The 12,080-nt window shown below is 47.6% G+C and overlaps 1 protein-coding gene and 1 long non-coding RNA gene across 5 annotated transcripts in view; one reads left to right on the top strand and one right to left on the bottom strand.

Moving 5' to 3' along the window:
- The window catches only part of ZNF503 (zinc finger protein 503), a 122,192-nt gene that overhangs the window by 34,153 nt on the left and 75,959 nt on the right, over nucleotides 1–12,080 (top strand). The gene's annotated exons all lie outside the window — the stretch shown is intronic.
- Nucleotides 6,086–12,080, bottom strand: part of ZNF503-AS1 (ZNF503 antisense RNA 1) — a 65,296-nt gene continuing 59,301 nt past the window's right edge. For 2 of the 4 annotated variants that reach the window (NR_038226.1, NR_038224.1), the window contains 2 exons: nucleotides 9,057–9,254; nucleotides 6,086–7,143 (listed from right to left, as the gene is read on the bottom strand). This is a non-coding gene — a long non-coding RNA (ZNF503 antisense RNA 1). Of the gene's footprint in view, nucleotides 7,144–8,714; nucleotides 9,255–12,080 lie in introns of all 4 variants that reach the window. The other 2 variants (NR_038225.1, NR_038223.1) reach the window with 2 other exon arrangements.

Here is a 12,080-nt window from a genome sequence, read left to right as displayed (position 1 = left end):
GTGACCCAGTTTGAACAAAGGAGATAAGGATCGATGCTCCACAGCCACCTTCTGCTTTGTGTGTCCTTTTACTACAACATTATATATTATATGCAAATCGCTGCACAAACTTCCAAGGCCTCTTTTCATGTCAAGAGGCTTCTTTGAGCCTATATGTTATATTTTACATATCTTGGACAGTAACATTTTTCTTTTTAGCACGAAGTTGCTCAAGGTTCATCTGAGACTCTTTTAAATTGCTGCTTTCAGAGAAATAACAATGTAAAATGACACGATGATGTATGGCCCCGTCCGGCAGACCAGGGCTGCAGCAGCCACAAACGCCACCAAACCTCTGGGAATGAAGCAGTCTCCGGAGCGCCATTGTGCAATTGTCCTAACCAGATCATTTTTAATTAGTTGCAATTAATTTCAAGTGACAGCATCCTGCAATATCAAGTTAGAGAGTTTCCCGTGCGTGGGTGGGGTTGTTAGGAACAGACAGCTGGTGAGAGAGAAGCCAGAGAGGGAGGTCTCATCACAGGCTACAAGATTTTCTGGGTGGGGGGTAGAGAGACAATTTCCTGAGCTGGGGGAGGGAAATTCTTCCTAATGATGCAAAAGTTCTGATTCTTTCTGGGCTGTTTGTAGGCCCTGCTAGATGGATACTTATCATGACCTTCACACGAGGCCCTTCTGGTGGGCAAGTGTGTTTGCAATTATCTTGCTTCAGTAACACAAAGTGGTGCAGCCAGCTAACCTCTGCCTTAGTTTGGCAGAAGCAGATTCTGAGATGAGGATTTGGGAGGTGACCCTAGGAGTGGGAAGTGAATCAGGAAAGGGGAGGAGCCAGTAAGAGATATATTAAGCAAGCTAGTAGTGCGGGTACCTGGAGCTCTCTCCCATTGGGAAACTCTGGGAGACGTTGTAGAACCTACATTTCAGAGTTATCTCACCCGCGGGACGAAGGAGCTAGGATATTTACACAATGATCCTGTTGGTCACTGGTTGAGGACTGCTTCCAACCTGCCTTGTAAAGGCAGACCAAAGGCTGAAGAAAGCTCTCAAAGAACTGCAGATGCTGGTGGCTGGAATCAGGCTCGGAGCACAGACATGGTAAGGGCAAAGGCCTTGGGGCACTGTGTCTGCTACAGCCTCCAGGACCTTGTACAGTTCAAACATCCTACAATTTCCCCAGTACCCCTTGGATGTCCCTCTGAGGCACTTACATGTGGGGACACAGAGGCAGAGCGGTTAAGTGGGGTGAAGCACCCAAGTTCCCCACGCCTGATGGAGGAGAGCTGAAAAGTCAGGTCGCCTACCTTTTGGTAGCAGGCAATCACCATCCTGCCACACCATTGCTCGGGACGTGGGAACCCAGGCTACCTCTAGCCAGGCTATTATGAGCAGACGGTGTTTTTTACTCTCCAGCCAATGCTGACACTTTTGTCTCCTGTATCCCTGGCCGACATCACTAATTATTTGATCTTGGCACCCTTTCCCTGGCATCCAGATGTGGATTCAGAATCCCCAATAGGATATAGCCCACAGCTGTTATCAAGCAATGGTATATACAAAAGAGCTCAAACCTATTTGCTGCCATGGCCTAGAGGGAATATTCCTCCTAAGCACGATGTTCTCTGATCAAAATCTTTTGGGGGGCACAGATTACCTATGTAGATAACTATGTAGTGACACAGTCACTCCTTGTCACCTACTAACTGAATCTTTGCGGCCAAGGGGGTAATCTCCACTTCAAATGTACTTGCTACTCTAAACAGTGGATTTAGAACCAGGACCAGAGCACTTGACCTCCTCACTGGGGCTCCTCTGGGAAAGCGAGAGGCACGCATGCCTGCCCTGATTCCTCCCTTATGTTCCCAGAGCCACCCTTCATTGGTTAATCAGCAGGAAGGGAGTGGGAACTAATACAACTTGGCCCTTTTCTTGAAAGTAACAACAACCTAAGCAGACAGTTACTGAGCACTCACCATAGGCCGTGCACTATTCTAAGCATTTTCATATACCATATTAACTCATTTCATTTTCATAAGCCAGCAAAGTAATATTACCAACCCCATTCCAGAGGGGAGAAAGCTGAAGCACAGATAGGTTAAATAACTTGCTTAAGGTCACCCAGCTATGCAGTGGTGGGGCTAGGACATGAACTCAGGCAGTGTCTGGAACCCAGGGATGAAGTCAACCCACTATACTCCTACTGGGTTTTCTTTCATGATTCTTCTGACCTGAAATACACACACATTTAAAAATTGACTTTCCAAAAATGCAGCTTGAATCCGATCATTTCTCTTTTTTCTTTCTTTGAAAAACTGAAGTGGGGCCGGGCACGGTGGCTCACGCCTGTAATCCCAGCACTTTGGGAGGCCAAGGCAGGCGGATCACAAGGTCAGGGGTTTGAGACCAGTTTGACCAACATAGTGAAACCCCGTCTCTACTAAAAATACAAAAATTAGCCGGGTGTGGTGGCACACACCTGTAATCCCAGCTACTTAGCAGGCTGAGGCAGAGAATTGCTTGAACTCGGGAGGCAGAGGTTGCAGTGAGCTGAGATCACTCCACTGCACTCCAGCCTGGACGACAGAGCGAGACTCCGTCTCAAAGAAAAAAAAGGAAAAACTGAGATGGACTATTGCATCCATATGGGGGACCCCTAGAAATAACCCGAGACCCAGCAGTGCCTCCTTCCTTCCAGGTTCTGGGCCCATGGTCTGTCTCAGGTTAGGACACAAGGACTCTGCCTCGGGAATGCGCAGTCATCCCCCAGATATCACAAGTGCTGCTCCTAAGTGGAGCCAAGTTCCCCTTAATAACCTTTTATGGTGCTATCATCCATTAACTTACCTAAACCTGCTCTCTGAGCCTGGCCAATCTGCCCATTTACAAAGGATGCCTCTTTGCCACAGAAGTCGCTTTAAAGTCACCATCTTACCACACAAGATGTTTTTTTCATTCCTCAACATGTCCTGTCTTTGGATTTCCAATAAGCTATTTTTAAACAGTCTCAGGCTTTGGATGGTTTACTTGTTTTTCAATGATTTCCCACAAATTTTTTTTTCTAATTAGTCTTTAATTTGATGAGACTTATGAAACGTCTCTTCTAGAGTCTTGGGGCCCTCTATTTTGCCCCAGCTCTCTCAAGCTGGGTGATGGGGCTTTCTGGACTTTGTATTACTTTGCTGGGGATGCCTGTCTCTGGTTTCTGCTCCCAGGGGCCCTACCGCTGCCAGACTTGTGTATTTCAGATTAGCACACCAAGCTAGTGTCCTTTTCTCCAGGGCCTGGTCAGGGCCATGAACAGTGACCACCTCAAGGCTGTCCTTAGAGAGCTTTCATGTTTCTTGGGACACAGTTGACATGATTGTCCCTGAGATGATCAAGGAAAAAAAAATAGAAAGTAGGCATAATGAAGTACTTCATTTCAGGGAGGAAGGAAAGCAGGCTTTGGGTGGGAGTGTGGGGTAAAAGTGGTCAGAAGAGGCTTCCTAGAGATGTTGAGGCTGGAATTCTCTGGCTTCAGCACCCAGTCCATCAGACCCACAGCTTTCTTTTATTACCAAGTTTGTTGTCATGCCCCATTTACTATCTCAGAATGGAAAGCAGAGATAACATAAGCAACCTACCCATGGAATTTTTTAAAAAGTCAATATATTGACCCACCTGTAAGATAAAGGAGAAATCAAAGGAAAGTCAGTTATAATAAAATATGTATTTCAATATGTAAATGCTCAGGAATAATGAAAAAGTGGAATGCTTGCACCTAAAGACAAACCCTCCCAGTGGGACTGTAGTCAGTGCCACCTGCCATGGAGCAGCATCCTGGTGACTTAAGGGCCACAGTATGGCTGCATGAATGGTGGTTTCTGAAATGGTACACAACTCTTGGTAAGGATCTGTGCAGAACAGAGGACAATTTCCTTCTCAATTGTCACAAAAGTTGCAATCCTAGAAAATCCAGTGTATATTAGAGCCATGCAACAATACTCAGTGCTTATATGTAAAACAGCTAGGTTTAGAGCTCTGGTCACTGTAAACAGGTTTTTCCACTGGGATGACTGTCAAACTTAGGACCTCTCTGATGGTTGTGCAGGTTGTGCACTGCACAGCCATTTACTTCATCATGGAAATGAATAGTGCCCCCTAGGGCTGTGGAGTACACAGCGACCTGGGTGGGCATTTCAAAAGTTGTATGGAATGCGGGAGAATTATTTGCTGGGCGAGACTGTCCTGAACATTGCAGGATCCAGACAGCACACACACATATGCCAAATGCCAGCATTTCCACGTGGATAAACAGAGACAGAAGGGTTAAGTAACTGGTCACTTCCTGGCCATGGCTTTGAGCAAAAGAGGTGGGGGGCATCTCCGGTCTCTGAGAAGGATGCTCCTGGACCCCACAGAGAATCACAACAACTCACAAGAGGACATTCTCCAAGGCCTGGCCACAGGGACTGCTCGAGCCAAGTCAGCTGATGACAAGAAAGACCCACAATACAGCCCCAGAGGTCTGCTCAGCTCCATCCTGGGCCTGTCTCCCGGGCTGGGGGCTGTGACTAAGCCTAGCTGTGGGGTAAAGGTGGACTGGAGCCTCCTCTTCTGGGCTGCTGGGCTTCCATAGCTGGCAGGACTGGCAAAGCAATTCCTTAAGAGGGAAGGGAGAAGTGTGTGTGTGTGTGTGTGTGTGTATGCATGCATGCACACACACACCCATGCCCACACACAGACTCCTGCCACCTCCGCTGCTGTCTAATAGGAGGGCTGACACTTAAACCCTTCCTTGCAGCTTTCACACCCAGGGGTGGGGACTTGGCCAAGGCTGGGGTGGGGGTAGAAGTAGAATGAGAGATTGAAGAGGGGGAACTGAGATTTCATTCCGGCCATTTTGAACAAGACCAGGTAGGAAGGAAGGAACGGGGAGCCTCGATTCCCAGCTGAAGCTGAGCAGTGGTTCCCCCACCCTCGCACAGGGCCTGACTCTAATGTCTTCTGATGGGACAAATTGGTGAGCACAACTATTAGCTGAGTGACATCAAAAGGCATTAATCTCTGGTTCCTGAGCAAGACCAGCACCACATTAGTGCCTCATACCCAGTCATTATTAAGACTTTAGCCCAAGGGTGTAATAAATGTTTTATGGCATGCAAACCAAGGTAATGGAATGCAAATCCCATAATATAGCCATACATTTATTTTCTAATGGAGCAAATGATGATGTATTTTATCTGAGAAGAGCTGCCTGATAGGGTCTGCTTGGGAAATTCGAAGTTAGAGACCCAAAGGGTGAGTGGGTGGCCCTGCTCTGGTGTGGGCTGGGGGTGAGCAAGGGTGGCAGTCACGGTGGGACTTCCCAGAAATGGTCAAGCCTTCATACACACAAACCTTTTGGACAAGCCCATCACCCTTGCTCTAGGTCCCCCAAGTACCGCCCCCCTTTTGGGGCATATACGGAACATTCTGAGGCTTAATTAAAACCCCTTTGCAGAGTGCCCCCCTCCCAGGATCCCCCACCCCTAACCAGAGCTGCATACCAATAAGCTACTCAGACAATATGAATTGGCTTTCCCAAAATATGGCCGCATTAAGGTGCAAAATGTTAATGGATGGAAGGGCGCAGGGCTATTTCTCCAGTGAAGTTAGGGCTTTGCATTGGTGCTGTTTTTATTAAGAAGCCAACACTGTTCAGTTGCAGCCCTGGGGCTGGTAGGGAAGCTGGGCTAACTAGCTGCAGCCACTGCAGCCTTGGGAAGGGCTTTGGTTGACCCAATGCCCCAGGTTTTTCTGGCTGCTGCCTCCCCAAAAACAGCTTTCTGATTATTCCAGTTGTCCAAAAAGTGTATGGGCTCCCTTTTAAAGTCAGAGGGGCTCTTCCTTCCCAGGAACCCCTTTAGTGACCTCTCTTTTGTCCTTCCCACGCCCAGGCACACAGCACCCACCTGGGCAGCTATCAGGCTCATGGGCCTTATACTGATGTCCAGAGACCTACTCTGTACCTAGATTTATGGGGGCATCAAGAAATCTAAGACCTGTCCCTACCTTCAAGGTCCTGATGATGTAACTAGGGAAAAAGACACACATCTGAAAAGAAATTAACAATGTAAATGATTTAATGGTCACCTGAGTGGTGTATTTGAGGAGTACAGGTTTCCTTGTAGGATTTTTTTTTTAAGGCATCCATTGAGAAAAAAGAAATGAACACTATCAGAGAAGAATCCTGATGGAGATACTGTTTTGGGCTAGAGGTATTGAAGACCCCTTAAGATAAAAAATGCATGACTTGGCTCTTCCCTCAGAGAGCTCATACTAGGTGTTCAATTCACATTGGTTTCTGAATGGCTTGAAAACAATGATATCCATTCTCAGAGGGCTGAGACTGGATCTAGAATTGGCACTTCAATGCTTGGCAGTACTTTTGATCTTCTAATATGCCCTCTTGTTTTCCAGAACAATATTGACAACGATAATTCATTGAAAATTTACATCAGACCCTGTGCTAAGCCTGCATTATTTTACTGAATTTTAAAACAACACTAAGAGGAAAGTACCTTTATGATTCTATTGAGAGATGACAGAAGAAACTAAGTCTCAGAGTGAGTCTTACCCAACTTAGTAAGAGCTGGGATTATAACTGGACCTCCCTGCCTGCAAAGCCCATCCTATATTGTCTGCCTCTCCAAATCACAGTAACAGGGGTCAGAGGAGTAAAACATTGTATTCAAGGACACAGAGCCTCTGGCTTCAGGCCCTGCTGTCTCCTGCACCACAGTGAGCAGCTCTTGGTTTTTTGTGTGTATTATCCCAGGAGAGGTCTCCCCACACCCAAGGGCCTGTCTCTCTCTCTACCTTCAACTAGTCTGAGGCCAGGAAGAATATCTTCTCACTCTAAGGTATGTCAAATCATGGTTGAACACAACTAAGATCTTAATAACAGTAAATTCATTGACCCAAATGGATTCTGAGCCTAATTTGAAGATTCTCCATGGATTTGATTTCTCTGTGCTTGGATGCTGTAGGTTGATTGCCCTTGAAGAATAGTTAGGCTGGGATGAGTTACTTGTTGGGTTCTTCTCCGGTTTGACCTGGTAAAGCTTCAGAACAGGCCTCTATAGAACATTACCTTCCAAAGTCTAGAGAATGGGCCAAGCCCACCTGTGGGGGAAGAAAGACAGTAGCAATCAACTCTGAATTCTTCAGGCTGGGTTCAGGGACAGATAGGGGTGGACTTCCAGCAGCCTAAGCAGGGCCAGGAATAGGGAGAGGAGAGAGGCACCTGGGGTACAAAATGTAAGGAGGCACCCACTCTCAGAGTCGCACAAGTGCAAACCTGAAAAACAAGGGCCCCCAGGCCGGTCACGGTGGCTCACGCCTGTAATCCCAGCACTTTGGGAGGCCGAGATGGGTGGATCACGAGGTCAAGAGATCGAGACCATCCTGGCTAACACGGCGAAACCCCATCTCTACTAAAAAAAATACAAAAAAACATTAGCCAGGCGTGGTGGCGGGCGCCTGTAGTCCCAGCTACTAGGGAGGCTGAGGGAGGAGAGTGGCGTGAATCCAGGAGGCAGAGCTTGCAGTGAGCGGAGATCGAGCCACTGCACTCCAGCCTGGGTGACAGAGCGAGATTCTGTCTCAAAAAAAAAAAAAAAAAAAAAAAAGAAACCTTTGGCAGCCATCCAACATCCTTAACCATCTTTTCCTTTCCATTTCTCAGCTCTGCGTTCCTTGATATTCTGCTTGGGCACAGACTAGCTGAAGGGAGACAGAGAGTCTCTTGGGCCTGGGTAATAAACACACCTAAAAACCAAGAGCTTCTCATTGCAGGGCAGGAGACAATAGGGGCCTGAAGTCAGAGGCTGTCCCTCGGGAGCAAATGAAGTGATTGGCTTCACTCTCAGGTTCCTGAAGCCTCTCCCAGGTGAAGACAAGAGGGTTACTAGCAGCTCCAGGCTTACTTCTGGCCAGTCCCAGGGGAAAAAGAGAGCTCCTCCTTCCCAGGAGCTGCAGCAATAGCTTTCACTGGCCCAGCCCAAGTCTAATGCCCATGGCTGAAATGATCACTGTGGCTGGGGACTAACCTGCCCTGAATGGTTAGCTCTACTCATGGGCTGACTCCTGGGGACCCCAGACATTCAACCACATTTGGAACCACATAGATTTAGTGAAGATGTGGGTTCTCCAAAGGAGAATCTGGTTGCTCTTGTAGGAGGGATGGGTGCTGAACAGGCAAACTCAAGAGCAGTCAACTCAACAGCCGGAGATGCTTCTAAAACTCTGGCTTCTCTGGAGGCCCACAGGACTCTTGCCCAAATCTGCGTTATTTGTGGGCCTCCTCTGTAGGCTTTCCTAAGGCATGAAATGCTTAAAATGCTTCTTGCTCATCTTTAGCCACCTAACCCTCTTCCCTAAGGCTCTGGCCAATGACTTGTGCATTACAGTCACTCAGGAAGAATTTGCTGATGTTATGAAAGAATGAATGAGGAACTGTGCTGGGGCTGGGCCCAAAACTTTTATTAACTGCAGGGTTAAAAGCTATCGAGGGTCAGGGGCACCACAAAGGGGCAGAGGGAGTGAGTCAATTAACACCTGCCTTTTTATTTCCAAATCGAATTGTTGCATGAGGTTTGGGGATGATGTAACCACTCTGCAGTGTTGGGGCAGGATTTATGAGCTAGGGTATGTGGAGCAATGGTCTGAGCAGGCAGCTGGTGAGAGGCACTTACCCTGACTGCCCTCACTTGGAATCCTCCCGAAAATAATAGCTGTATGATATGAAGGCATCTTGGCAGAAGGACCGCTGCACCCAGGGTGGACCGGAGCTGAATCACTTTTTCCTGGGTTGGTATGGAAGGGTGTCCAGCTCAGGCATGGCTTCGTGTTGGGAGGGGAAAGGAGTGGGAATGTGGCAGGGTGGAGAATGAAGGGGCAGGCAGGATAGCATGTTAGCGCAGCCTTAGGGCCCGGGAATGGGGACATGCGCCATTGGAGTCATCCTAGGTTGAGTAGGGACTGGCATTAGCTAACACAGGGAGTCCATTTGTTAAAATCCATTCATTGTCTCCTACCTGAGAGGAGCAGGATTAACCTCTGCTGGAAGTTTCTGGGAATGTGGTTGGCACTGTACGAACTCGCTCACCACTCCATGGCCTGCTGTAGGGCTCGGGAGGGAGGAAGGAAGGCAGGCCTCCCCTCCTGCCTTTCCCACCAGTGCTTGGGTCCAAACAATGAATTTTCGACTGGGTCATTAAATGCTGATTAAAGTACTGGAGAAAAGAACAAAAGAAAAAACCAACATCAAGTGTTGTATGTACATACACGCTCTCACCCCAGGCCCCCCTTTCCCTTTCTCAAGCTGCCTCAAAGTTCGTTCCAACCCTCCATTGGAAATGCTATAAAAGGCCAGGTTAATTAAGTCCTATATATTACCAGCACAAACACTTCCAACTTTATTCCGGTGGCTCGGTGAGTGAGGAGGAGGCCGGGCAAGGTCCAGGCAGCTCAGGGTAATAAAACAGAAGACTCAATTACCTTGTACATTTGCAGTTTTATAAAATCATTTAAAGTTCTGCCAATGAAAAGCACAGTGGAGAGGCACTGGAATTCTGACATCCAGCAAAAGCTTAGGGAACCAGGATTCCCTTAGAGTTGTCACAGATAGCAAAGTCATCCTGGCCATCTCCCTCTTCCCTGGGCAGGAAAGTTCTCTCCATAGAGTGGCCCACGGCAAAATATGGAGGAAGGAAAAAAGGAAAGGGACTCTCCAATGGTGCACTGAGCACCCACTGGGTCTGGAGGGCTGTGCTAGTGCCTTACATAACTCACTGGGGTAGGTATTATCCCCATTTCCAGATGAGGAGACTCAGGCTGCAGAATGAGTCTTTGGTGTCTAACCAAGAGAGACCCAACACCCAGAGCCTGTGCGCCTCGCCTGTTATATTCCAATTCCTGCCCCTCCCTTTAAGCTACCAGGCCTGCTAGCTGCATATCATGGCCCAATATTAGAGGACAGTCTCTGGAGCCCATGGGCCTGGATTCAAATCCCAATTCTACCACATCTTAGCTGTGTGCTCTTGGGCAAATTACTTAACATCTCTGGGCCTTAGAGAAATTACTTTCCTCATTTGCGCCATTCAATCTGCTAACAATGCCATCAGAAAGGTACTAATATCATTTTCACAATGCTGCATAAAATGCTTGGAGTCCAGAATATGATATATATTGGTTATTATTGTGATTAGTTATTTTCTTTCTTTTTGAGACAGAGTCTCGCTCTGTTGCCCAGGCTGGAATGCAGTGATGCCATCGTGGCTCTCTGTAGCCCCAACCTCCTGGGCTCAAGCAATCCTCCCACTTCAACCTCCCGAGTAGCTGGGACAACAGGCATGCACCACCATGCCCAGCTAATTTTTTTTTTTTTTGTAAAGATGGAGCCTCACTATGTTTCCTAAACTAATCTTGAACTCCTAGGCTCAAGCAGTCCTCAAAGCTCTGCCCCCCAAAGTGTTGGAATTACAGGTGTAAGCTACTGTGCCCGGCCCTATTGTGATTATGATGCTAGCTATACCTCTACTTGTCTTGACCCACTCATTCTGCTTTCCAGTATAATAGCCAGTGAACCAGCTATACAAACCATGCTCCTGTGCTTAAAAAAAAAAGGGGTTAGAGGAGTTCTCCCAACTTCTTTCTCTATACCACAGTGACCTAATTCACACACAGATTCTCCCATTTCCAAGTCTTACGGAAGGGCAGGAATCTATTTCCAATTGAGGAACCCTGTTTTTTCTTGTGGGATGAACAAAAACAAGAGCTATATATAAATAAAAAAACAACTTGTTTTCTTCTTCAATAAATAGAAACTGTTCGACACGCCTACACCTTGAGAAATGGGAGTAAAAACCTTCCATTCAACAGCAGCCTCCCGGGGGAGGAGTTATTCTCTGGGCTATAGCCACAGTGACCCAGAGCAATGTTTCCCAGGAGGCTGGAGAGAATTAAGCCCAAAGTTCTCTCATCTTGATAAAATCTGTCAGGGCCTCAATGGGAGAACCTGGGTGGGGCTGGGGCTGAAAGGCAATGCAGCTATGGACCACCAGGGGCATGAGGGGATAGCAGCTGGCACACGGTAGACTCTGACACTTGTGCTGACTGAATGAATGATGTTCTTACACCCTGAGCACCTCCCAGACCCTCTCACGTGGAGAGCTTCCTCTGAGCTAGGCAGATGAGCTACGTGATGTTTTCTTAAAAGATTCACTGTAGGCTGGGGGCGGTGGCTCACGCCTGTAATCCCAGCACTTTGGGAGGCTGAGGCAGGCGGATCACGAGGTCAGGAGATCGAGACCATCCTGGCTAACATGGTGAAACCACATCTCTACTAAAAATACAAAAAATTAGCCAGGCTGGTGGCAGGTGCGTGTAGTCCCAGCTACTTGGGAGGCTGAGGCAGGAGAATGGCGTGAACCTGAAAGGCAGAGCTTGCAGTAAGCTGAGATTGCGCCACTGCACTCCAGCCTGGGCGACAGAGTGAGACTCCATCTCAAAAAAATAAATACATAAAATTTTAAAAAAGGTTCACTATAGTATCTCCAGTGCCACCCCCTTTTCTAGAATCTTGACATCCCCACTCCTTGAAATTGGGCAGAACTTGCAAATGAAACGTAGCAGATGTGATGCTGCACTACTGGCAAAGCTAAATCCTAAGAGGTAATGTGGCTTTCACTTGTCACTCTCTCCTGGGAACCTGGCTGCCATACTGTGAGGAAGCTCAAGCTATCTGGAGAGGCCACACACAAGATATTCTGGCCCAGAGTCCCATCTAAGGTCTCAGCTGACAGCCAGCCCCATCCACCAGACACATGAGTGAACAAGCCTTCTGATGATGCCAGCCCACAAAAGTTGAGTCACCTTCAGCCTTCGAATCTTCCAGCTGAGGCCCATATGCTGTGGAGCAGAGACAAAGCTTCCCTGCTGTACCCCATCTGAATTCCAGACCCATAGAACCTATAAACATAATAAATGGTTGTTTTACACCACTAAATTTGGGGTAATTTCTAACCCAGCAATACATAACCAGGATAGCCAAATGTACC

This window comes from Homo sapiens, chromosome 10, assembly GCF_000001405.40.
Source record: "Homo sapiens chromosome 10, GRCh38.p14 Primary Assembly".
Lineage (NCBI taxonomy): Eukaryota > Metazoa > Chordata > Mammalia > Primates > Hominidae > Homo > Homo sapiens.
This window is presented reverse-complemented; position numbering and strand designations above follow the sequence as displayed.